Genomic DNA, 27,993 nt, shown 5'->3' on the forward strand with positions numbered 1-27,993 from the left:
CTGTTTTACTTAGATTGAAAAATCTCAGCCTAACATCCTGTGGTCTCTGCCTTTCCTCATTTCCTTCTACCTCCTACTCTCCCCCAGCCTGGAGACCTTCCCACAGTAGAATTACTCCACTTGACATTAAGGATTTTATTTGGTTTCAAGAATGCTTCTCTTTTTTTCCTTTTTCCTTCCCTTGTCACTCCCTCTGTTTCTCTTTTTCCTGTCTTCCTTTTTATGTGTCTTTATTTTAATATTCACAGGAGCAGGAAGCAAGTTCTCCTAGCCGCACGTGGAATGCAAATGTCCAAATGTTGCGCGTGGGAAATAAATCGAATTTCTGAGGGTTAAACGAAGGTCAGTTTGAACATTTAAAATGTCTGAAAATAAAATGCACCAATCAATTCTATTCGGATGTGTGTGTGTGTTAAACATCATTTTAGCATCCCATCTAAGCCTATTTGCTCGGTTTTTCTGCTTTGTTTTTTCTTGCACCTCAGGGTGATGGCTTCAATAGCTCGTTTGCACCAAGTAGTAACAGGCCACAGCGGGCGAATCAACCTTTTGTCTGCCTCATCAGACTCTTTGCCCCATTGTCCCCCCTCAGATCCCATCAGTATGGGGAAGGAGGCCCGGCCAATGCTGGTGAAAACAGAATCATTCCTGTAACAGAGAGGGCCGTTCCTGCACTCAGGGTGTCCCTGTGACTTCTGGCTTCTCTGGACCCACGGTAGCATTTGCTGGCGATAGAAAAGCGGTTCTTGTTGGGTTATTCTCACTGGTGCCTGCAGAGTCATGAAAGCAGGGAGGACAGCGCCGTCCACCTCCTGCACACAGAAGTCTCAGCTGGAAGTGGCGGTCCCCGAGAGCCTGCGCTCCGCAGCTTGTTTTAGCCTTCAGAAAAAACGCTTTCTTTCTGTAGCTTAACTGCTTGGCCCACAGGGCAGCCAGCTGTTGTATGCTGCTTGAGCAGAGGTCGTGGAGGGGTGAGTGAGCACAGGGAAACCTTTTAATACATATTTTATATACTTCAGATCACTAATGGGAGCTACACAAACAGATCCATTTGAATATCTACCCCCTGGGGCTATATTTCTGTTTCGAGTTTTCTGGTAACAGCAAGGATCAAAAACTAAGATGGTTCTTTTAAACACACCTGATTGACCAGAAATATGCATAAATAAGTATTCTGCACTACTGTTGTATATTTTATTATTCTTATTATGTTTCCTTTTTGAATTCTTTTTTAAGCTTTATTGAGGTATAATTGACAAATAAAAATGTATTTAACGTGTGCAACGTGATATTTTGATATATGTATACATTGTAAAATAATCACCACAATCAAGCTAATTAGCATTAAATTGATTTTACATACTTTTGATTCCATATATTTTAAATTAGACAAAAAATTAGCCTTGGTTTTGATAAAAGAAAAACTTCAGCTGGATTAACTTTAAAGGCGTCTAATTGAGTGATGAACAATTTGTGAATCGGGCGGCCTTCTCAGCCATGGTAAGCTCAGAGACCCCAGCGCAGCCATGCGGGGGAAGATTTATGGAAAAAGGAACATGAGGAACAGAAAACAGAAGTGAGGTACAGAAACAGCTGGATGGGTGGCAGCTCGGCGTTTGCCTTCTGCGAACACGGTTTCAACGGCTGGCTACATTTGATTGGCCGAAACTCGGTGACTGGCACAGGTGTCGGCTACGGTCGGTTACGCCTCCACCTGTTATCGTTCACGAGGTGCAGAAAAGCCTTTAGGCCGAACTTAAATGTGTAAGGAGGCAGCTCAGGGCTAACCTTGATTTAACAGTTTCACACATGTCAACAAAAGTGTAAACAACATGATTTAAGCAATAGAGATGAGAGGTCATCTCAGAAGAGAAATGGCATTTATAAGAACCACTTGGCATTAACTATATTTTTGTAGAAGATGGCTTTTCTTATGGTATTATTTTAAAAGTGTTCAAATGATATCAAAGCTGCCATTGTTAAAAGTAAAAAAATCCTAATGTGGATACTTACAAATGTCTAATATCCTAATACTTCAATAATGTCCCAGTACTTTACTGTGTACCCCAAATGTTATGTGTCGTTTTATAAAATGATTATATAATCTTGCTGGGGTGTTCTTGTCACTCACCATTACGGAAGAGAAAGCCGACTCGGAGAGGAGTGGCCATTTGTCCTTCTTCACAGCATTAATAAATAGTAGACCCAGGACCGAGAGGGCTGTTTTTATATCCCTGCAATGTTTCGTATGTTTGAAATGTGTTGATTGAAAATGTTCTTCCTCTTTGATGAAGAAGAGCCACAGTGACCGCCAAAGAAACCGATTTAGAACAGTTTCTTCTAAAGCTTTCCGCTTGGACTTGACCGTGGGTGTGTCTGAATGTTTCTGAGCCAGCTCCACACCAAGCCTGAATGAGCCCAAGCAGGTCACGAAATTGAAAGGACTATAAAGCACCGTATCAGAAAAGGAGGAGAAACCCAAGGCGTATCCGTTAGTGGCTGCATATGCCAATACGCACCAGTCCACGCTTTTCTGAGCCTGCCAGCATCCGCAGCCTCTCCTGCTCGCAGAGGTTGTCAGACACCCCGGGCTTGGCTCAGTCCTGCTGCCCAGTTGGAATCAAATCTCAAGAGAGAGACAAACACTGTAAGGAGTATGACCTTCTCCAGCAAGACAGCAAAGGTGCAAAGGAGAGAAGGATGCTACATAGCCCGTGTGTTTTAAAGAAATGCAAATATTAAACGAGAAAAAAGGAGTATTAGTTTTTTTAAAAAATGGGAGTGTACAGATATGCAACAACATGAGAAAACAACACAACACAAAACAACTTTGCTGGTTCTTCAATTAAAATGTACACAATGGCTCTAATGCAAATGATTGCCATATTGAATTGGTCACGGAGTTGAAATTAAAACTCATGACTAGTGATTTATACATTTTGCTTAAATCACCAAATACAAGCAACTCTTTGAATTGAACTGTTTTATCCCTTCTACTATAAATTCCTAAATTATACAAATTCCTTCATTTCCTTCTTCCTTCCCTTCCTTTCTCTTTTCCTTCCTCCCTTCTTTCCCCCCTCCCTCCCTCTCTCTCTCTCTTTCTTTCTTTCCTTCCTTCCTTCCTTCTTTCTTTTGTCTCTCTCTCTCTCCTTCTCCCTCTTTCCACTTAGCCATGCTATAAATAGTAAGAGGTAAAAGAAATAAAAACAGAAATAATTACAGGCCCAAATGTATTATTATCTTCAAAGGAAATTACAAAGAGAAGAAACAAGAGGGATTTCCCTCCATCGTGTTTCTATACACGCACGATATTCTAACTAAAGCATGTTACAAGTGATCTATGTTATTTTTACAAACCAAGTGAGTGGTTTAAAGAAAATGGAAAGATGTGTCCTCTAAGAAAACCACAGTTACGTGAGTGGTAAATGGAAACAACGAGACTCTTACCTTCTAAGCTATGGGGTCTGTTAGCTCTGCATCCTGTATCTCAGTGACTCAGGGCAGGTCACTAAGCCTCCTTGAGAACCTTGTTTTCAGTATTCATGGAAAAGGAGGGAAGTGACCCAGGCAAGGGTGTCGACTGTGAGGCATATTGCTTATGTGCAGTTCTATTATTCTTGGTGTTAGAAATCTGAACTCTCATGTTTCAGTAACCGGAAAATCTTCAGAAAAGACATCCCCGGCGCCATGGTTGTCAACATGCTCAAACACCTCGTTATAGCATTCTTGCCCCTTACTGGTGCAACTTCTTGCTACTTTCCTGTAGTTCAGTGACAGAAGTTGGGGGTTATTCTTGGTACCTTCTTGCAGGTAATTCCCAAAAGTCACTGGTGCTCTAAGGGACCCACTCATCCTCACCTGATAACCCTTCACCAGGAAGCAGCAAATGCTAACAACTCTCTATACTTGCACTCACTCTCACGACCTGCCCCTGCTGGGCCTGTGGTCACCCGAGAGGGCTTTGCTCCCAGGCCATGGGAGGGCACCTGCTACATGACTCACTAACTTCCCTGTCTGGCACAATCTGAGTCTTGGTGCAGACCCTTTTCCACAATCCAGACTCTAGATAGCAGACATTTCCCAGAGCCCATCCTATTTGGTTCCCTTGCCGTGTGTATTCCTAAACAAAAATCATTTCAGTGCAAATATGAGACACTTTTTGATGTGTGTGTGTGTGTGTGTGACATAAGAAATGTAAAAAGTGAATGGTCATATTTTTAAAAAGCAATGAAAATGGGCCGTATGCGGTGGCTCATGCCTGTAATCCTAGCACTATGGGAGGCCAAGGTGGACAGATCACGAGGTCAGGAGATAGAGAACATCTTGGCCAACATAGTGAAACCCCGTCTCTGCTACAAATACAAAAATTAGCTGGGGATGGTGGCGTGTCCCTGTAATCCCAGCTACTCAGGAGGCTGAGGCAGGAGAATCACTTGAACCAGGGAGGCGGAGGTTGCAGTGAACCGAGATCATGCCACTGCACTGCAGCCTGGGCGACAGAGCGAGACTCCGTCTGAAAAAAAAAAAAAATCAACAAAAATGAAGAGAGTATATTAAGATCTGGTTAGACGTATTAATTAGACCTACAGAGGAAATTCCTAAAGAGCCGTGCAGGCCCGTTCTTGGAGCCCTGGAAATGCACGCATTTCTTGATGCCTCTGAGGATGCCCCTCTCACTCTCTGATTGTACTTGACCTGGCAGCTGCTGACTCCGTCCTACCCCGGTTACACAGGGTTAGAGGAATGTTAATTACCCGAGGATGCTGTGTCATCCGCACAGTATCCGGGAGAAAATAACAAGGACAACTCCCTTCATCTGAGAAATACAGACATTTAGCGATATAAGTGCCACGCTCAAAGGTACTGGTGTTGTGTGGGCACATATTTGGGCAGGAATGTAGATCCTCTTATCCTACTACTATATGGGCATCTGATACATAGATGCACCCAGCCAGAGAGTGCTAACCCTGTGCCCTACTGCAGGAGGGGTCTCAGCAAGCATCTGTTCTTGTCGCAGGTAAGGACTCTGAGACCTGGAAAGGGTTACATCATTTACGTAGTTTAACACAGACAGTAAAATTTAATTGGGGATCAAAAAAAAAGTTCTAAATGTTTACTTTATGGAGTATTGTTCCTTAAAAAATTTGGATTTTTATGCTTTCTTACAACATTAAAGTACATTCACCACTTTTTCTTGTTTTCTCAGAATCTGCGACATGGATAAAATTCTATCTCTGCATCTTACAGGTATTAAAATCCAGTTCCCTGCGTGCATGCTCCAGTTTAAGTGGATGGCTGATTCTATCCCGTCATCCTGAACTTTGTAGCTTCCTTTAAGAGATGATAAATTAGGGAACAAAAGGATCTTCCTTTCCGTGACAGCAGCACTTTCGGGAGGCTGAGCATGTACCTCTGACTCAAGGCTGAGTTATTATAAGAAAAACAGAAAAGGAAGGAAGAAGGTTTTAATTTCCCACTGTTGAAGACAGTTTGTCAGGATGAGAGACAGACAGACAGAGCGTGCACAGACCTGCACTTCTCTTCGGGGATGAATAGGGCAAGTGTTTCATTCATGACGTCTTCAAAGCGTTGCCCGGAATGCAAAATGACATGGTTTTTCTGGAATACTAGTCTGTTTGAAAGGCCAAGGAAAGGTGATACATTTTGAATGCACATTTGGGTGACTTCAGGGTCTCCTTCTATAACCAGAATGGAGATGTCCCTGAAAGGCTGTCAACAGAGAAAAAAAGAATTCTGGTTAAAATTCCATTATTCCAGTTTTTTTTTTGTTGTTGTTGTTTTTTTTTTTTGCCTGCGTTGTGTAATTGAAGATGTCTTCCAAGCAGAAACAGACCCTTGTTTCATGTGGAAAAAAAAATACATAGACTAATAGACTACAGAGAAATAGAGGTAAAAAGAAGATTGCTGCCACTTCCCAGTTAAGGAATGCGTTGCTTTCACCCACCGTGGTCCCTGCTGCCTGTGACTCCAACACAAGAATCAATCCATCTGTCTTTCTGCCACCACAGACATCTCCCTAAATTGATCTAATCTTGTGTCTATTCTTAAAATTCTTCGGATTGCTTCTTGTTAATAGATAATTGAAGTTCAGTAGTACAGTCTTTCCATCTCCCTTTCCTTCCTGATTGTCAAATCACTTTGACCCAATAAATCTCACTTAATTTTTTAATTGTATGGGAATTTAAAAATGGCACATGTTTTATCATATGCCTGGGCTGCTCTACCCAACTTTTCAAAGTTCTTTCCATCCTTCAAAGTCTAGCTCAGCACCTACATCTTCAAACGGTAAAACTTCTCTAATTTTTTTGCATGAAATAAATGTGCCTATCCAATCAGGATGAGCCACTCAGATGTGTGACTGATGTCACACAGGGCTTCAAGCTCAGAAGAGCCCACCGGATGAATGGTTTATTTCTCTGCTGTTGTCATCTTGAAATTTGAAGAAGGGGCCCAGCATTTTCATTTTGCACTGGACTCACAAACGATATAGCCAGTCCTGCCTCCAGTACTCCTAAAGTTAACAATTTCATATCTCTGCTCCAATAATTCTCATCCACATTGTTGTTTTGAAGTTACCTTTGTAACTCCCACTAGATTGGGAGCTCTAGGAAGCCACAGATCTTATTTGTTGAGTTTCTACAAGTGTGGGGAAGAGTAGTGTGCACAGATTAAAGCTGCCAATGGGAAGGTAAGAATACTATCAGAGTTCATCAGAACAGAACTGAAAACAGCCAACATCTCCTGAGAATAGCAGTGCTATGTTCTGAGTGTTTGTGTCCCCCCAAAATTCATGTGCTGAAATCTAATTCCCAACATGTTGGTATTAAGAGGTGGGGAATTTGAGAGGTGAGTAGGTCATGAGGGTGGAGCCCTCATGGGTAGGATTAGTGTTCTTATGAAAGAGGCCTGACAGAGCATATGCCCTTTTACCACATAGAAGGTGCCATCTATGAAGAACTAGCTCTCAGTAGACACCAAATCTTCTGGCACCTTGATCTTGGACTTCCCAGCCTCCAGAACTGTGAGCAATAAGTTTCTGTTGTATATAAATTACCCAGTCAAAGGTATTTTGTTACAGCCGCCAGAATGCATTAAGACAAATAGTAAAAAGAACAAAGAAGTTTTGCACACGTAGTATGCACCAAGCACTGTGCTTTGCACTGCGCGAGAAAATCCAACCTGGTTCTCACAACATGAAGCATAGGTACTATATTATGGCTTCAGTTTCCAGAGGAAGAAACTAAGGCTTAGAGAGGGAAGGTGTCACACACTAAGCAGCAGTAGCAGGAGTCGCTGTCAGTTCTGGCTCCTAGGAAATCAATGAGTCTGTATTCATAAATCATAGAAAATTGTGACATTTTCATGCAATAAAAAACCTAAGAATGTTCTTTATATATATACATATATTTTTATTATACTTCGAGTTCTAGGGTACATGTGCGCAACGTGCAGGTTTGTTACATATGTGTACATAACATTAGGTATATCTCCTAATGCTATCCCTTCCCCCTCCCCCCACCCCACAACAGGCCCCAGAGTGTGATGTTCCCCTTCCTGTGTCCAAGTGTTCTCATTGTTCAATTCCCACCAAGAGTGAGAATATGCAGTGTTTGTTTTTTTGTCCTTGTGATAGTTTGCTGAGAATGATGGTTTCCAGCTTCATCCATGTCCCTACAAAGGACATGAACTCATCATTTTTTATGGCTGCATAGTATTCCATGGTGTATATGTGCCACATTTTCTTAATCCAGTCTATCATTGTTGGACATTTGGGTTGGTTCCAAGTCTTTGCTATTGTGAGTAGTGCCGCAATAAACATACGTGTGTATGTGTATTTGTAACAGCATGATTTATATTCCTTTGGTACACAAAGTAACAGGATGGCTGGGTCAAATGGTATTTCTAGTTCTAGATCCCTGAGGAATCGCCACACTGTCTTCCACAATGGTTGAACTAGTTTACAGTCCCACCAACAGTGTAAAAGCGTTCCTATTTCTCCACATCCTCTCCAGCACCTGTGGTTTCCTGACTTTTTAATGATCGCCATTCTAACTGGTGTGAGATGATATCTCATTGTGGTTTTGATTTGCATTTCTCTGATGGCCAGTGATGTTGAACATTTTTTCATGTGTCTTTTGGCTGCATAAATGTCTTCTTTTGAGAAGTGTCTGTTCATATCCTTCGCCCACTTGTTGATGGGGTTGTTTTTTTCTTGTAAATTTGTTTGAGTTCTTTGTAGATTCTGGATATTAGCCCTTTGTCAGATGATGGAAGAACATTCCATACTCATGGACAGGAAAAAACCTAAGAATGTTGTCACTGTAACCAAGCCCAAGGGAGCAAAATTCTTTTCTCTTGCAGTCCCAACCCTGAGTTTACAAAATCTGTCCACACATACCCAGACTTTTGAGTTGTCAAATAAGTTTCTAATAAGAAAACTTTTTTTAGTTTATGCCAACATTTTACTAAGCCCACCTGCAGCTCCCTAAGCCACTCCTTTAACAAAAATACTATCTTTTTACTTTCTAGTTTTTTAAGCAAAAAATTTTATATATTTGGAGAAAAGTGTTTCATAGACAAGCCAGAAAATCTAGGGAGAAAGAGATATTACAGAATCTGCTGAGCAAGAGGATTGGGTGGAAGTCAAACCCATGTTAGCACTCCATATGGGAGCTCCAATATAGTCATGAAGAAGGCCCCCATTTCCCATTAGCTTCTGAGCACTTGTAAGGCATCAAATTCAAGGAGACGACTACCAGGGATTAACATCAAAGGACATTTTACTGAGTTGAGTTCATCAGCAGTTTCTACTTATTAATTTATTGTTAAAATTATATGCTTCATTTCCGTTGCAGGCCTTCTTTTTTTACTGCTTAACCCAAATATGTACCATGGGCAAGATACATACAGTGCTTTAAATATGTTACTATAAGAATTTGCATTCCAAATCAAGACATCATTCTAAATCATTCCCATCAAGATATTGCCAAAAGCATCACACATAGGCTATAGCCCTCAATATATATTATTGTCTTTCATACAGAGAGACTGTTCAATAAAAAACCTCATTGTGTCTGTCCTTCATGTTTTTAAGCTAATTAAGTGTTCCAAAGCTTAGGTCTTTTATGATTGTGAATAAGGATTGTTATTCACCTCAGTAGTTTTCAGGAAAAGATAATGCTTCTGTTCTCTCTTTCTCAGGGACCACTATTACCTGAGTTTCCTGGAGCTTTGAGTTTTTTTCAAAATTGTTTTCTTAAATCTTTAAATGAATTGCATTTCTCTCTCCTCTAATGAGCAAAATATGAAGAAATGAATGACTGGATATTCTATTTGGACACAAAAAAGGACTGATATAGCATCTGTTCACTTCAGCAAGGTTGCTCCAGCCTACCTACATGTATACCTATTTTCCACCCATGAGAATCGAAGTTCCCTTCAGATATAAATTTCCTTCTTTCCTTCTTTCTTTCTTTCTTTTTGTTTCTTTCTTTCTTTCTTTCTTTCTTTCTTTCTTTCTACCCTCCCTCCCTCCCTCTTTCCTTCCTTCCTTCCTTCCTTCCTTCCTTCCTTCCTTCCTTCCTTCCTTCCTTCCTTCCTTCCTTCTTTGCAGAATTTTGCTGTCAGCCAGGCTGGAGTGCAGTGGCACGATCTTGGCTCACTGCAACCTCTGCCTCCCAGGTTTAAGCAATTCTCATGGCTCATCCTCCTGAGTAGCTGGGATTACAGATGCGCGCCACCATGCCTGGCTGATTTTTTGTGTTTTAGTAGAGATGGGGTTTCACCATGTTGGTCAAGCTGGTCTCGAACTCCTGAGCTCAGGCAATCTGCCTGCCTTGGCCTCCCAAAGTGCTGGGATTACAGGCGTTGAGCCACCGCACCTTGTCCAGTTAGGGATTTCTAAGTAATGCTAATGACAAGCTGCTCCAGGGTCTGATGTTCCCATGTGGTCCCTGTTGGATACATTTTTAATCCTAATTTTGGAAACTTAACACCAGGTATATAATGACTGAGAACGGCTGCAACTTATCAAGACACAATTCTTACATCACATATATGTGATGCAGTAGGAGAATGTATAAGAAATGTCAAATCTCATTCTTTCCAAAATCTTGTGTTAGGTAATTTATGGTTTTTATGACTAACCAATTATTCTGGACATAAAGACTTTTAAAATTATAATAATGAAATTTACTTGGACTTCTAGTTGAGGTAATTACAGGTCATGAGGAACACAGTAAAAGCTGCCATATTAAAGAACAGTTATAATTGCTGTAAATGATTTTGTTAGTGCGGAACCAGTTGTAATCCAATTACATCCACATTTGAAAATGACAAGAAAATGTTGAGAGACATGTTTCCCAACCAGACCATTCACCTGTCACCTTGCCAGTGTATCATTTGAAGGAAATCTTTTGTAGCAAATAAGAATATACCCGGCCTCCTTTAGATCCAGAATTGAAAAAAATTAGAACTAAACAACAACAAAACCATCAGTTATTTTGTAAGAACTGTATAAGAAAAGAGAGAGGAGAATTCTCATTTTAGTCAACGTTCACCTAGTACTGTTCTAGGTGTCGTAGGTATTAACCAGTTTAACCTTCACAGAACTAAATGGCAGGGATTCTTATTTCTTTTTGCAGTTAGAGAAACTGAGGCTGAAATTAAGTTACTTGCCCAAGATAAGGCAGCAAATCTGGTTTACCTAATTCCAAAGCTTAAGTTTAACTTATTACCATACCATGGTAAGAATCATTTTGATCTTAAAATTACTTCAGATGTCTTAGTATGTTGATGTTTACCCTCATAAGTAAATGAGAAGTAGGAGATTCTATATGTGTTCATACCTAAATGACAAATAATGAAAGGTATTTGTTTACATATACATTATTTAATGAAAAAATGTTGCATTAATAATTTGGACATAATATGGAATATTTATGTAAATGAGAAGTAGGAGATTCTATATGTGTTCATACCTAAATGACAAATAATGAAAAGTATTTATTTGCATATACATTATTTAATGAAAAAAATGTTGCATTAATAATTTGGACATAATGTGGAATATTTCCTCACAAAAATTCAGACAACAATTTTTCTTCCACTTTTATACTCTTTATCTATAGCTATATTTAAATCAAAGTTATCAGCAGATCATACTGGGAATCAGTTTGTGCCACAAGGCAAAATAAATTGACAGTATTAGAAGAAAGGTTAATAGTCCCTTTGCTAATCCCAACTTTTGCACTAGGTTTATTATTACCCTTGAAATAGAACCTACACGATCAATTTCAAATATCAAAGCATAACACACACTCTACAGGGAACCCATAAAAGAAAGCAGAGGAGGCAATAGCTTTACAGTTAGGAAAAACCACGATTTTGATTGTGCGTGGAAAACATCAAATTAAACTTGGTACTTGCTATTGACTCAGCATCCTGCTTCTCCCAGCATTCCAGCGGAAGTCTAGTCTGCTAGCTCCCCAGAGTGAGACCTTTACTCCTGTGGCATTACTTGCTGGCAATACAGAATTGAACAGGTTCTGGCCTTGGGGGAAGCTTATGATTATTTTCTTCAATGTGCAAAGTAATGCTTAAAGGAAATAGTCTCTTAAGCAGCCCAAAATGTGAAAAAAACAAGATAAATGAGGTTTGCAAAATTTCTTCTTTTCCTACTAATTTATTTCTGGTTCAGTGAAAAATTCATTTTAGAAGGGTTTTATTCCTCCTATGTCCCAAGCTTGGTCTTCAGTCCCCAGTTACAGAGTTGTTCACATCGTCTTCTTCATGCCTTTTATTTCTGCACAAATCCATGTTAGTCATGCCCAATCCCCACAGGCCACCTGAGTGCTCTACAGCACGTTGCTCCCGCTGCACCCAGGCTAAGGGCATGAGAGATTTCTCTCTGCATGTAGAAAGACTGGAGGCATGACAGCAACTAACGTTGACTAATTAATGCTGAAAGGGTTAAAGTTGTCAAGTTCCCAACTTATTTACCATTGACACACCCCAGATTTGTTCTGGGATGCCAGGAGATAGTATCATTGCACAGGTGTGAAGAAATAGGGCATTCTGACCACAAGGATAGGCCAGAAATTTGGGGGTCATTATTTCATCATGTACTTAGTGCCAGGAATTTATATTTTAGGTGGATAAGGTTGTCATTGTTCCACAACATCTGAGGACAGCAGACTTGTTGAATGAATGAATGAATGAATGAGAAAGCTCTATCAGCTCCATAGACAAATGCCGACTTCTACAGATTACTTGGAGATAATCTTTTAATAAAATGAAAAAAGCTCAACAAACCTGAGCAACTAAGAGGAGCTAACATTTCCTAACTGCCTACGGCACCATGCCAGGTACTTCACGTACACTATTTGTTTAAGTACAGACAACCTCCTACTTAGTATCTACGATAGACAGACTCAAAGGTGGCTCCCAGGGATCTCCTTCCCCTGGTATTTGTGCCTTGATATAGTCGCCTCTCACAGTGAATAGGGCTGACCTCTCTCACCTGTAGGATTTTGTAGAAATGATGGCACGTGGCCTCCAATGCCAGGTCATAAAAGCCGTCATGGCTTTTGCCTTGCTTTCCCTTGGATAACTCTCAGAGCGAGGCCAGGTGCCATGTCACTAGGGCCCGCAAGCAGTTCCGTGAAGAAGACCGCATGTTGAGGAATCAAGGCTTCCTGTCCACCACCCGCACTAACGTGCCAAGCAGTGAGGGAGCCACCCGGAAGCAAATCCTCCATCCCCAGGCAAGCCTTCATGTGACTTCAGCTTACCGCTTTCCTCAAGGCAATGTCAAAGAGAGAACCTGACAAGTAGATCCTGGAACCATCCAGCTAAGCCACTCCCAGATTCCAGACCCATAGAAACAATGTGAAATAATAAGTTTTTTTTTTTTTTTAATCATTGAAGCCTCTGTATTTTGGAGGCATTTGTTACATGGCAGTAGATTGCTATAAAAACCATTATTACTCTCATTTTATGGATGAAGAAATAAAGGCCATGAGACCCACAGGTACAAAATGCTAATAGCTTTCCCTCATTGATCACCTTCTAAAGAAGACTTGGACCACCGAGGATGGCTGAAGCCAAGAAGAAGAGCAGCCAGTAGTGGGTAAAGAGGCAGAGGCGCCTACTCATTTCTTCAACAAATAACTCTTGGGCATCTGTGGTGTGCCAGTCAGTGTTTTAGGACATGAATTTGCATCAGTGGCCACCATAGATAAGTTACCTGTGTTTTTAAGGCTTACAGGCTAGTGTGATGATTGATAATGAACAAACACATGAAAAGATCTATTACGAAGTACAATAGAAGGCAAGGGAGAAACAGGTTCAGGGAAGAGCGAGACTGCGAAAGGGCAGCCTGCCACCTCTTCCTTCCCACACAGAGCATCTGCAGGGCACACCCCTTCATCCAAGGCTGCCTGAATGTGTTGCTCTGTCCTGAAACATGAAACTTATTAGACAGGGGCCATTCTTCTCTTTTGTACACTCACATACATCCCAGGTGCCTAAAGCTAAGCCTGGTACATAATTTGTGTTTAGTACATATTTATGGCAGTGTCTTAAATTCTCAGATGGATAAAATTTTTAGTGGATTTACCTGCCTAAGGAGTTTGACATTTTTCAGCTGTTTTAAGGTTAGCACGTTATTTAAGACAGAGTAAATTCTGCTGGTGTAACTCCTTTTGTATTACCAAAAGAACAAAACTCATTGTGTAATAAATATGATTTTCTTCCCAATAGCCATGCTAGAAATTCATTTATGTAAGCAAGATATTAAGCCCCAAAACCAATGTACTAAAAATGCAATAAGTGCTCCAGAATACTCTAAGAATCAAAATCTGAGATATTGTTATGAGATCCCCAAAGAAATGTCCATGATCCAAAGAAGAAATCAGTCTCGTCACTTACACATAAATAAACCCAGGTTTCTTGAGTCTGTTTAGTTCCGCCATGCAGCTGTGCGGCTCCAAGAGCACCACACCAGGAGGACCAGAGGCTTCTCACTTCACGATCACAGCCACTGCAGCCTCTTTGGGGGAACGTGAGAGTCTCTTTTAAAGCCCTGTAGTCTCAAAAAATAAATTGTAAGTTTATGAAAGGCAGAAATTAGGTAGTTATTACTTGCTGATCAAAGTGGTTTATTACATTTTAAAATGTTAGTACTAAAGGGAACTTCAAATATTAGGGGGCTCAATCCTTCTGCTCCCAAAGAGAAGCCCAAAGAGGTGAAATGATCATCCTGGGAGGCAAGAGCAGGAGGAGTTGCTCATGCCAGCCTTTTTAAAAACTCCTCCCCTGGAAACCATCATTCTTAGCAAACTATCGCAAGGACAAAAAACCAAACACTGCATGTTCTCACTCATAGGTGGGAATTGAACAATGAGAACACATGGACACAGGAAGGGGAACATCACATACCAGGGCCTGTTGTGGGGTGGGGGGAGGGGGGAGGGATAGCATTAGGAGATACACCTAATGCTAAATGATGAGTTAACGGGTGCAGCACACCAGCATGGCACATGTATACATATGTAAAAAACCTGCATGTTGGGCACATGTACCCTAGAACTTAAAATAAAAAAAAAAAACTCCTCCCCAAACACATTGTGTTTCTTTGAATAATCCAGATACTGTCACCTATTATGACTCAAGAAAGTTTGGCTGATTATTTCCAATGGGACTGTAATTAAGATGCCATTGGAGGCAGTGTTGCATAGCAATTTTAGAATCTGGGTTCTGAAATCTGAGATCAGGCCTCAAATACTATCTCCATCATTTTTTAGCTGGGCAAATTAATCTAATTCTGTTTTTTCACCTTTAATCTAGAGATAAACACAGCACATATCTCGTGGAGTTTTGTGAGGATCGGACAAGATGTCATGGGTCGGTTTTAGGAATACTTCTTAGTGCGTGTAGAACTGCTCATGTATCCTAAACTACTGCTATTGTTGTAATCATTATTTCATTATCTTCAGAATGTCTTGAAGTCTGAGAGTTAAGATCCAGTGAGAGTTAAGATCATGGTGGACCAAAAAGACTAAAAAGAGTTTAGGCTATTTCTTGGTGCCTGGGGCTTATGATGGTAGAAGGAAGCAGAGACAGTGAAGGAGAGAGGGCTGCTGAAGGGCCCTGGCCTCTTTCCCAAGCCACTGCAGATTATCTACATGACAACCGTGTGCTTGTCACTGCAGCTTCAAAGCAGGTCCCTAAGCCCCTTTTCCTATCAACTTGTCATTTCCAAGCTTCTCAAAAGTAGAAATTCTAACTGGTCTTCAGTGGGAAGGTCAGGGTAAGTGATGGAATATTTAGCTGGTGATATTTTATAGTTCAAACCAGGCATTCACAATAGGGAATTGTATTCATGGGGAGTAGAACCCTCATTCTGGAGCTGCTTAGTTTTAGAATCAAATGAATCTCATGCCCAGGAAGAAGAGGGGACAAGACGTCAATCATAAGAGGCCATCAGATCCCACTATGCAGAGGCTGATGGGACATGAGAGTCTCAGAATGCAAACCAACCATGAATGAGGATGCGTGGTGTGTACACATGTGGCAGAGAGGAGAGTTCCTGGACTTTGAAATGAGGGTATAGCCATAACCTTCTTATCAGAATTGAAATGTGGATGTAGCCATAACTTTCTTATCGGAATTGAAATGTGAGTGTAGCCATAACCTTCTTATCAGTGTTGAAATGCGGGTCTAGCCATAACCTTCTTATCAAAATCAGGCATCACAGGGATTAGAAGGGCTTCAGCCCAGGAAACAACATGGAAGTGGATTCTGTGGCAGCAACTGAAAGCTAAATCCCTGGAAATCAGGATGAAAAAGCGTTCTCTCCCTCAGCCACGATGGACCAGAGACCTGATTAGGTGTGTAGATGTGTGTCTGTAAGTGGGTTTGTGTGTACACACTATGATGGTCTACGTTTGCTTTTTGGAAGAGGGTTTGCTGGTCAGCCCCTCATGTGGAGTAAGGCAGAAACTGGGGCAGTGAGCAGCAGAGTTGTGTATATAACACCTGACTGGTTTTATTAGAGCTCAATATCCCTTTATATCTATTATAAAAAGTGATGTTCATTTGCATACCATAGGTGATGCAGGTGCTCAAATACAGCAACAATCGCTGATCTTTAAATACGTTCCATCTGTGGGTAAAAATAATTACCTTCTGAATCTCTGTTTTACAGTTGCATTCAAGTGGGGTGTATCTGTGCATGTTTGTGGTTGGCAGAACAATGGCCTCCCAAAAGTATCCGTGTCCTAATCCCCACAACCTGGGAATTAAAGTAGCAGATGAAATTAAATTTGCTAACCGACTTACTTTAAACATGCAGATTATCCTGGATTATCTAGGTGGGCAAACCGTAGTGGCAAATCTTTTAAATGAGGAAGAAGAAGGCGTCAGAAGAGGAAGAGATAGACAGAAGAGTCAGCATCAGAAGAAGACGGTGTGAGAAGGACTGACAGCTGTTGCTGGCTTTGAAGATGGAAGGAGTGGGTGAGCCAAGGAGGAAGAGCTGCCCTAGAGGCTGGAAAGGCAAGGAGATGGGCTGTGCCCTAAAGCCCCAGGAAAGAAGGAAAGCCTGCTGGCTCCTTGATTTTCACCCTGTATGACCTGTTTCAGAGTTCTGATGCTGTATTCTTTAAACCACTAATTTCATGCTAATTTTTTATAGCAGCAATAGAAAACCAATATCATGGTATATGCATTTTTAAATTTTATAACACAAATAGTTTCAAAAAGTGAGAAATTCAGATGTTTGAGCTCATTTTCTGAGAAGTTCCATCTGGAAGTCAGATCACAGGAGCAGTCCTTCTGACTCTGTTCCACATCGTAATAAATAATACTTATGTTATCTCCCGTATACTCTGACGCCTTGCAAAGCTACACACCATGCCATAGATTTCCTAAACAGCAACATTTAGAGCAATCGTTTCCATGTAAGTGGTACTTTCTACAACCATTTGTTTCTTTTTTCTTCCTTTAATGCATTTTAATTAAAGGTAAGAAGAGAATAAAAGAGAGTTGGAGGAAGTACAGCAGCTGTGATGTGTGGGTATAGGAGAGCACAGTCTGCAGACTTATGCTCCATTTGAAGGTAGAAAAACAGTGATTATAGATATATTGCTAAATGAGATTCTACATAAATCCAGACTTTGAACATGAGACTTGATGTAAGTAAAAAAAGACACTGATTCCTCATGGCTGCATGCTGGGTTTTCTTGATGTTTAATTAATTCTAATGATGAAGTCTGAGTCATAAGTGCTCATTCAACAGAGAAACGGACCCTATTTTAAAAATATAAGCCTTTACACAAATAATTGTTGGCTAAATGCTTGCAGTTATCAATAGCGGTTCCGATTTTGAATGTAATGTTTAGTGCACAGAATTCCTCGCCCTGGCCAAGCAGAAAGAAAAAGTGCAAAATCAAACAGTCAACGCGAGAATTTAAAACTATACAAAAGAGAGTCAATTTTTTTATGAGGAGGTGATCACATCTGTGGTTTTTCTGGGAAAAAAAATAATACTGGCTTCCTTCGTGGACTCTCTCCTGTATTTAGATCGACTGGAATGTGCTCTAAGAAAGCACACTCATTTTGACATCAGCATAAGCAAAACAAATCTGCCTCAAAACATTTGATTGTAAAACACCTCCAGCTCACCCACTGCTCTAGGGATGTGTCGGCTTCTTCAGGAATCGTGGGTGATCATAACACCTGGTAGGCACATCACTAGTGAAGTGTGGAAGGCAATAGCAAAGCTAGAATCAACAATATCTCGTTTCCTACATCATTTAGGCTCAAGGAAAAGACTTTGTGGGAATTGTGGTAACTGCTGTTGTGTATTATTGTTATGCATTATTAATAGAAATAATTTTCTTGCCATATCACTCGTAGGTAGCCTTGTATTTTAAAATATAAGAAGATCCACGGCTCCCTATCTACCTAATATACAAGTCTATGATTGTATGGTGTTCCTTTATTCTTTCTACTATAAATTCTACTTACAGTTTTCAATATCTTTATGGAAATTAATATCTTACCGAATAGAGTCGAGGGAGTTTCAAAAAATGTATACAATCAATTTGTACACATATGAAGGTGAAGCAAACATACCCATGTCAGTAAAATTACTGAATGGCCAAAAGGGGAAATAACCCATGAATTTCATATTAAGAGTGAAACTGTTTAGAGTGAAAGAAACTGGAATTTTCATCTTGCTCCACTCCTAACTAGTCATATGCTCCAGGACTACTTACTCGTCATGTTTAAACCTTATTTTTTTTGAATATTTTCTTTTTCTAAAGGTTAAAATCCCCACTGAGCTTGTGGGTTTGTTGCGAGTACTGCATAAGTTAACCTAAGTTAGATACAGTAACTGCCTACCCCAAACCATCTTGCCCCTCGTCCTCTCCTTTCCTGCCAGAACTCTGATTTACTCCAAGTGCTTTGATCTTAGGCTAAGTGAGACCAGCACCTGTTCCGCAGGTATGTTCTATAGGTGGGCGTGGCCTTTGTTGGGCAATGAGATATAGGGGAAAGTCTTCTAGGGGCTGCTGGAAAGTTTTGTCTCCCTACAAAGAGGGAAGGAGCAAGAAAACACTTCTTCCATGCCATTGCGTGCTTCGTGCCTCTGAACTCTGTCCACTGAGAAGATGATGCTTGGGATTGCCTCGCCAGTCTTGGGATGGGGAAGGCAATGCCTGGAGAAATACCAGCAACTGCTTATTTCCAGAATTACTGTTTTGTGGTGGGAAAATCCCTCTGGTTTTAAGACTGTTGACTGCTGGTAAGACTTTCTAGTATTTGAACCTTGACCTTGTTAGGAATGCAGGGATTGTTAATGACTGTTTTTAATGTTGTTTTACTATATTATAGTGTATCACAAGTGGCACTGATAGGCCGGTTTGATAAGTTCCCAGATGAGAGAGAGAATTCCAATTGCAAAAGTCATGGTAAACTTCATAGAGGAGGGATCCATCCCACTGGACTTGATGGGTTTCAGTCTTTGAGCATGGAGAGGCTGGAAAGGGTGTGTGGGGGAGTTCCGTTCTGAGCTAGTAGACCCTTCCACAGGTATGAATAATATTTCAAGACTCAGTGTAATGAGGACAAAGGAGAAGTGTGGAAATGGAGAGCTTTTCACTCAAATCTGCAGGCCCACCTTCTCTTGCAAAGCTCTTCTAGTCTATGTATTATCTTTGGGTTATCTATGGACTTAGAGTAAGTGCAATATAGATTTAGTTTGGCTTTGTTTTGAACACTATCTTGACTGACTCTAATAGTTTTAGAATAAATATAGCTTTACTTCTACTTACATTATTTTTGGGATTTTTTTTTAAAGAAAAAATACATTCGTTTAGTTTAAGAATTGGTAAAACATATATATTGACCAGGTTTTATTTTTCATCCAGCAAAGTATCACGATTTGTTGCAATGTGCACAGCCAGCTTAAAAAAAAAAAAAGAGCTGTTCTTAGGGCTTATACTACCTAATTTCAGCAGCACCACTAAGAGAAACAAGGTGTAGCTCTAACAGAAGGTGAATGGGGAAAACAGGCACAGAGAAGAAGTGGGTACAGGCAGCCGCCTGGCCTCTCCTTATTGCACAGGACAGGCAGGGCAGGGCCGCTCTCTGTGGCCAGGCTTCAGCAACTCAGGCACCCCAGTGCCAGAATCAGCCCCACCACACAACACGTACAGGTTAGCTGGAAACTGTTTAGGACACACAGAGTTTCTCCAAGTAGCAAGAAACATATCAAAGGACCATCAGACCCAGGAATAGAGTGAAAATGAGTGACAGCACATTTGTTCTTGATTCCCTTATATTTCCTGGTTGGGCCAGAACAAAATAAGAAACAGAAAAGGTGAGACTTGCTGAATGTCACATGGCATTTCATCATTATGTTATCTATTTTGGAACATTTCAACTCATTTTCAACCTTTTCCAAAATGTTTACTTTTTCAGGTTTTTCCAGTCAGTGTTTCTAGTATTGTCCCCACCATTTTTTGTAGCAGTCTATTTTTGAAACGCACATCTTTGGCTACCTTGAATAATTGGAAATAAAAACAATGTTGAAAAGAAGTCACAGAGTACCTAAGAATAGACAAGGACTGTGGCAGTTATTAAATATTATTACATTAGGAAGTATCATGATTTTGTTAGGTAGGTGTTTTGAGACAATAATATTAGGTCTAATTGTTTTGCAAGTGGGTAATTTGCTCAGTTACATGTGATTAAGAGGGGAAGTTAGGGTGTAGCTTAGCTGTGCCTTTTTCCAAGATGCTGCCCTGTTCTCAGTGTCTTGCAATTCTACTGCAGCTCAATACCCATCACATTCAGTGGGGTATAGAGAGAAGAAACACAGAAAAAGCAAAACAGACAAAAGAACAAAGGAATTTAGTTCAATTTCAATCAAATATCTGATTTTGATTTTTAATCAAAGGGGATCAAAAGTGGTCAATACAGAGGGGCCATTTGAGTCTTGTCAAAATAATTATAATTTTTGTTTTTCTTAGGACTGCATTTTAAACACTTAGTGAAGAAGTTTGGTAGTATGCTGGCATGAAAACAGAAAATGTGCCCTTGTTAACCTATCCATCTTTAAACAAAACAACAACGACAGAATGCAGCAATTATTGGTTGCGTGTCCTATTAACCCAGTTCGTTGTGACATGTGAGGATAGACTGAGAACTTGCCTTGACTTGAGTATGTTATGTCCATACATTGTAAAGTATAATTTTTCACAGCATTTTGCAATAAGTGAAATAGGTATTAATTTAAGAATAGAAAATATATATTTGGGACCAATTCTCACTTTGCAATACTGACAATTATGGTAGAAGATAATTAATGACTATAGAAGAATAATCAATGTTTAGTTTAAAAGGGTTTTCAAACAAAGACTATTTTAGGCTTTAAAATTACTGTTGTTTAAATTTTTAAAATTAAATATATATGATATTTAAAACAGTATGAATTTCCTTTTAGTTTTTGGATTGCATTATTTTTGAATGGTCTCATTAACCAAAAATCTTAAATGATTTTAAATATTTACCACAATTTCAAGAGCATTCAGTAAAATGGAAATTGTCTGTTTTTAATTGTATAGCTTTCGGGATGCAGTGTACACCTAAATTGTATTCAATCATGATTTACTACATAAATTTGATTAACTTAAATGCATGGTAAGCTCTTTCCTGTTAATATAAATGGAACAAATTAGTGTTCTAAATAGAATAGGAAAGACAGGAAGCAACGCAAATATTCCAGATTATCTGGGCTGTTTTTAAATGCTTTTTTTCTTCTCTTTACTTAGTTAAATCTCCCTTCTATAATTAAATTAAAATGATTGTGCCTGGATGATTAAATTTTTCCCAATATGTATGTTTCATTGGTAATATCTAAATGTTACAGTATAATACATATTGTCCAAGTGGGGTACGAAAGTCTATTAAAAGAAATAATTTTGTACATTTAATCTCTCTCCTGCACCCTATCAAATTTAGTTGTAACAATATGAAAATGTAATTTGAGCTTATTCTCATTTTTTTACACTATGCTTTTCTCAGTCCTGGAGGATGAAATTATATTATCTTTGTTTTCTGTATTTTGTACTCTCTGAACTTTTTAAACATCAAAATGTACATATTATTTATAATCAGAAAAAAAGAAAGCTGTCTTATTTTGAAAACCATCATTTTATTGTTAAAAGCTTATCAGAACGAGGGAGAAGCCTTGCCCTGTTTACTGTTGTAGACACACTGTTCATTAAGGATGACTTGTTTGGAAAAATCCACTCCCAAGACCTCTTGACCTCTAGGGCTAAGCATGGCATAGCACTGGGTGGGTTGGGGATAAGATCATAAGACTGTGGCGTGGGAGTGCTTGAGTTCGGATCCCAGCTCTGTGGCTTATTACTCTTTGACCTTGGGCAAATTACTTTGTGCCTTTTCTCTTTAGTTTATTCTCCCATAAGTGTTGATAAAAAAGTACTAGCTATCTCACAAAGACTTAAGACGTTAATAAACACAAAGACTTTGGAACAATGCCTAGCAGAGGTGACCATTCTATAACTTGATGTTAGGTGTGACTATGAGCTACGTAATATGAAACACTTCCAAAAAATTAAGTTAAAAAAGAATGATATGCAAATATTCAAAAATAATCTGAAACATCCAGTGGCATTTTCCCCAGGTCCTTGTCTCTGTGGGACTATACTGCTCCAGACAAGAGGGCAATTGAGCATTTGCCCCGTGAATTGAGGTAAAAAATGCCAGCAGATTCATGGGCACTGGACACAACAGATAATTCAGAGAAAAGGAAATACAGATAGCCAATTAGCAATGAAAAGTTTTCAACCTCAGTGCTAATCAAGAACTTGCAAATTCAGATAAGGGTAACATGTGGTTCATTTATCAAATTAGCAAAGATTATAAAATAAAGGCTAAAATCCAAGACATGAAGGGTCAGACACACATTCTTATACACTGCTGATTGGAGTAGAAATTAGTCAAACCCTCTGAAAGCAATTTAGCAATGTCCAGAGAAAACATACAAATCCTCAAGAGCTTTGAGTTAGTAACTTTTTCCGGGGAGTTATCCTAAGGAAATAAAGATAAAGACATTCATGGCAGCAGTATTTATAACATTCACAAATGAAAATAATCTAACTTTCTAACAATAGGCAATTAGTTCAATAAATGAGAGTACAACTAGATGCTAGATATTGTATAATATTGCAGTAATATTGGTAAGTAGAGATATTAATGAGTTTTGACCTTAAGTCAAAACTACTTATGACTGAAGGTTGGACCATGTAACCAGCACTGTTTCCTCTGGGTGTAGGGGAGTGCATAGGTGTGATCCCTGGCTATACTCTGCCCTGTCACCATGCTTTCCTGGTATGATGGGTAAATTTGGGATGGATAACTGAACATGATCTACTCTACCCTTTTTCCTTTGGAAATCTAGCTGCTTGTAGGGAGCATCTGTCCTCTTCTCCTGGGTGATAGAATCTTTCTCCAGAGGCATGTTTTTTCCTCCCATATCGGAAAGATTGTTCCAACTAGCATTGACCAAGAGAGGGGCTAATGCTGCCTACTTCTGAGATTCAACTGGGAGGATTATTTGGCTATCACACTAAGCCACATACTTCAGCATGGCCTTTATCAATAAAAGTGATACATTGATTTTCCATCTCCCAGCATTCTTTTATTTGTATTTTTCAAACACTTGGTGGGAAAGAAAAGCATTATACTTTAAAAGACTCCACAGGTACTTCAACATTAGAAACTGACCATTAATAAAAACTACATAACAACTTAGTCCCAAATGTCAGTTATTTGACATCAATACACTTTTATTATCTCATAGTTTGTGAGGGTCAGGAATCCAGGCATGGCTTAGCTGAATGCAACTACCTCAAGTTCTCTCATAGGTTGCGATCAAGTTTCGGCTAGAGCTGTGGTCTCATCTGAAGGCTTGATAGAGGGAGAACTTGTTTCCAACCTCGCTCATGTTGTTGTGGCAGAATTGAGTTTCTTGCTGGCTATTGGCCTCCAGCCTTTCTCAGCCCCTTGCTGTGTGGATTGTCTCCTAGTGCAGCTCACAACATGGCAACTGGCTTTCCTCAGAGCGAGTGACTGAGAGTGCAAGGGAGCATGCACAAGGCAGAAGGCACTGTGGTTTTGTAACCACATCTCAGAAGTGACATTCCTATTACTTTTGCTATATTCTATTTCCTAGCAGAGAGTCACTAGGTCCAGCACACACTCAAAGGGAGGAGATTATATAAGAACATGAATACCAGGAGGCTAGGATCACTGGGCACCATTTTAATGGCTACACACCCCCAAAACTAACATCCACCACAAGACAGGCTCATAGCTAATCTCATTTAATCTTAATAACAAGCCAAGGAGTCAGTTAATAGGATTATCTGATTTTAAAAATGAAGATGTGGAGGCTCGAAAATGTTAAGTGTCTGGTTTGAAAGCTCACAAAATAGTAAAGGGACTGATCAGGGATTGGAACCATGACAGTCCACTCGCAGATTGTGTCTCCTTAGCTACTTGGAAAATATTAAGGAAAAACTGGAATTGCAGATAGGCAAATACATTTTATGACCTTATTTTTGTTAAAAATATATTTAAAAGAGGAAGAGGACATATTAAAATATTTTAGAAAAATTTTAAACCTTTCAGTGAAGGAATTACGAGTGGGTATATTTTCCCCTATTCTTTACATGTTCATATATATTTTTCAAAATGCTGATTATGGGTTTTTTATTTATCTAATATGGGGCAAGCTATGAACACAACAGAAAAAGTCTGTTCTCATAGGCCTTACAACACCAGGCCACCAATGGTGTGTGAGCCATCTTTCCTGAGTGCAAGCAGTCAGGTGCACTGTCTCCAAAAGGTAACATATAAATAGAGACCTAAATAAATTGAGAAAACATGTACTGTTTTCATAATCACAAAAATATAGAGAAAATTTAAAGCTTGGGTGTCCCACTGTAGCTTAAAATTTGAAAGTTTTAAAAATTTTCCCATTCATTCATTTTATATTCAGTCCTTTATTCACTCAGTTATGCATTTTTATTGAGTGCCTATTAGGTGCCAAGCACTGTGCTAAGTACTGGGAATTTAGCAGCTAGTTAAACATATCTCCTTTCTCACATTCATTTTAGAATAGAGTGGAGAATACAGTTGTTCATCAACAAATGACTGAGATATATAATTGCAAACTGTGATATGTATTATGAAGAAAATACACAGGCTATCAAGACAGCAGAAACCAGCAGTGCAGGTCAGTGAAGAGTCAGCCACAGAGGTCATTGGAATTGTAGTCACCAGTAGCATCCATTTGGGAAAGGTTATATGTAAAAAGAGAATTGGGTAAGAAAAGAACCTTGAAAAATTCCCAAAGCTAATGGTGAAAGAAAGAGGATGAGCTGCAAGGAAAATTGAGAGGTAGGAGGAAAGTCCAGTGGAAGCCAAGGGAAGAAAGCTCTCCTGGAGGAGGAGAGTGGGCAGCCCTGCTGCATGAAGAAGGAGAGGGCTGAGAAGTGAGAAACACCTTCGGTGTTTAGTGACACGGTGTGAGTAAGCCTAGGAGCAGCCTTGGCAGATTAAAGTGGGTTGTAACTTGATGGGAGGAGAAGAAACAGGGACCATGTATATTAATAGCTTTTAAAGCATATTTGGCTATAAAGAAGAAACATATAGGTTTGTAGGTGAAGGGAAAAGTGGAACCAAAGAAGGGTTTTAGATTATCTTTTCTTTTGAAATATGGGAGAGACTGTAGTTACTGAAATAGTGAAGATTTTGATCTCATAGAGAGGATAGATGTTGGCTGAGGGTGGGGACCATTAGAAAAAAGGTGACTGGTTCCTGAGAAGTTGAGTTTGGGGGAAGAATCCAGAGAAGAATAGAAGAAAATGAATCTCCTTCACCATCCTGTTGAATGTCCTACTCTTGTCATCTTTCTCTTTCTTTCAAGGAAGCAAAGGAATCTTTAAAATGTTTTCAAATGTAGATGCTTAGAATTTGGGAGCATAAATGCAAACATCACACCTAAGGATATTTTCATTACTCATCTCACTTTTTAAAGCACTTTTCTATGATTTCATTATTTTTATTTCCAGGACAGCCTGGTGAGGTTGTTGGGATGGCTGCCAATCAATTCATGTGACTTATCTATGGAAACACAATGTCAATCTTGCTATTTATAAAGTGTCAAGAGATCTATATCACCTAACTGTCATGCCAATGCAATTTTATTTTTTTACCATACTATGCCTCCTTAGACTCTTAAATCCATTAAATATAATCATAAAGTTCACAGCTTGAGAGTATAACTTGAAGACAAAGAAGAAAACACCACAGAGAAGGTTTGGCTCGTTTATATCTTGACACCCTGGTAAATGCTTTCTTCACTCTCATCTGAAGGAAATTAGATGGAAATAGGACACATGTGTAATGTCTTCCACATGAATTGAAGTGCATTGTGGATAAATGTCTGGACTTGCACGCTTGACAAAGGTCGGTCTTAGTACCATTTACTCAGCCGCTCCTGGGTGAACAGACACTCCTGGAGAGCCGATTCCCTCAGGCTCTGGAGACACTCCGAGCCCCCGTGCTTCTTGTTTAATAACACGAGCAGCACAGAGTTCTCAGGCAGCCTTTGTGGTTTGATGAAATGGTATATATTTTCATTAGATTTTCGTGTGTGTATGTGGGAATATTCTGAAAACAGCAAAGCTATATAAAGATAAGTAATTACATTAATAAAATAAAATAACAATACTAACACTTATTGAGTACTTACTCTTTCCTATTTTCAATAGCTTTAAGTGGTCTCTCATCCTAGTATTTAATTCTTATTCCATTTTAAATCCTGTCTTAGTCTGTTTGTGTTGCTACGAAGGTATACCTGAGGCTGGGAAATTTATAAAGAAAAGAGATTTGGCTCACGGTTCTGCAAGCTGTACAAGAAGCATGACACCAGCACCTGCCTCTGGTGAGGCCACAGGGAACTTTCATTCATGATGGAAGGCGAAGGGCAGCTGGCGTAACCCTTAGAGATCACATGGTGAGAGAGGGAGCAAGAGAGAGGGCAGGAGGTGTCAGGCTGTTTTTAACACTCAGATCTCAGGAGAACTAACAGAGTGAGAGCTCATTCCTTACCTGGAGGACAGCACCAAGACATTCATGAGGGATCTGTCCCCATGACCCAAACACCTCTCACCAGGCCCCACTTCCAACGCTGGGGGGGTCACATTTCAACACGAGATTTAAAGGAGAGAAACATCCGAACTATATCGAGTTCTTAATCAAGGACATAGCATTAATCCTGTTCTCAAACCAATACCATTGCTGGCCCACTGACATAGACTAGGATTCCCTTGGAAGCACAAGTAATGGAGACCACAGCTAACATTTTGGAGACAGGCTGAAGCTTTTCCCAACATGGAGCGAGACGCCTGGAAAATAACCCATCTTGTTCCCAGCTTGTCCTTTTACACTAAGGCATGTTCAGAAGCATGACCAGTCCTTCTCCCTCTCCTCTAGCCATGCTGAACTGTGCTGTCTTTTAAATCCTGGCATTTATTTCTGAATCCTTGGAGCTTTCTGCTGCAAGGTCTGTTCTTCTTCCCTGCTCTCATCCCATCTTGACCTCCATCAGTGTGGTCAATTTCAACAGACCCTCAGGTCTTTCTCCAGAAAGTCTCCACTGACCACTCCCCTACACAACCCTACTATGGGTGGAGTAATTGCCAAACACCAATATTCTAAAACAATCACGTACAAAATGTTCTTGAAATACATTGAAATAAATGGATATGTAATTCTTTTCAGTTACTTTCAATTGGGTAAAGAACAGAGCAGCAGAAATAATGAGATCCAGTGTTTTTCCTTCTTTTAATGCAGGTTGTAGGGCTGGGATTTTACTTCTGAATGCTACTGGTTTGTTTAATTTTCCAAAAAAAAGTGTGAGAATATATGCTCAAATTTCTCAAAATACTTAAAAACGTATTTTATTTGACCTCAAGTTGTACAAAGGAGTTCAGCCAAGGCTCGTGCATTTGATGACAGGTCTCTGAAGTAGAAATGTTTGAATTCTGTCTTGAAACAATTTTGCTTCTAATCATCTTGCAATGATTTTCAAGTTATTCTTGAATTTTTCTGCTCCATTCTATGACTTGCATGGAATTTATTTTGTGACGGAAGGCCACATTCTGCCTATGAGGGCTGGTTATTCTGTTAGAATTTCCTCCTGAAGGTTCATGTAATATTATTTTCTTTCTCTCATGATTCCTTCTTCTTTAATTGTCTTATAAGAGAACACTTGGTAGTTCAAATCACATCTAATGTTTCCCTGATGCCAAAAGCATTAGTGGTTTTGTTAATTCCACCAAACAAACTCTAGTGTCTGAGTGT

At 39.7% G+C, this 27,993-nt stretch overlaps 1 long non-coding RNA gene across 1 annotated transcript, besides 1 other annotated feature; it reads left to right on the forward strand.

The window, feature by feature from the left end:
- The first annotated feature begins 3,315 nt into the window (after positions 1–3,315).
- LOC124900878 (uncharacterized) lies at positions 3,316–6,198 on the forward strand. Its single transcript, XR_007058507.1, has 2 exons — positions 3,316–3,813; positions 5,210–6,198. It is a non-coding gene; the product is annotated as an uncharacterized LOC124900878 (long non-coding RNA).
- Positions 4,439–5,638: an enhancer, noted in NCBI's record as "MED14-independent group 3 enhancer chr4:188049269-188050468 (GRCh37/hg19 assembly coordinates)". NCBI's record gives its function as "activates an origin of replication core promoter dependent on BRD2, BRD4, P300/CBP and CDK7 cofactors, and independent of MED14, by STARR-seq in HCT116 cells {active_cell/tissue: HCT116}" and the evidence as "EXISTENCE:reporter gene assay evidence [ECO:0000049][PMID:35650434]".
- Positions 6,199–27,993: the final 21,795 nt, after the last annotated feature.

This window comes from Homo sapiens, chromosome 4 (genome assembly GCF_000001405.40).
Source record: "Homo sapiens chromosome 4, GRCh38.p14 Primary Assembly".
Lineage (NCBI taxonomy): Eukaryota > Metazoa > Chordata > Mammalia > Primates > Hominidae > Homo > Homo sapiens.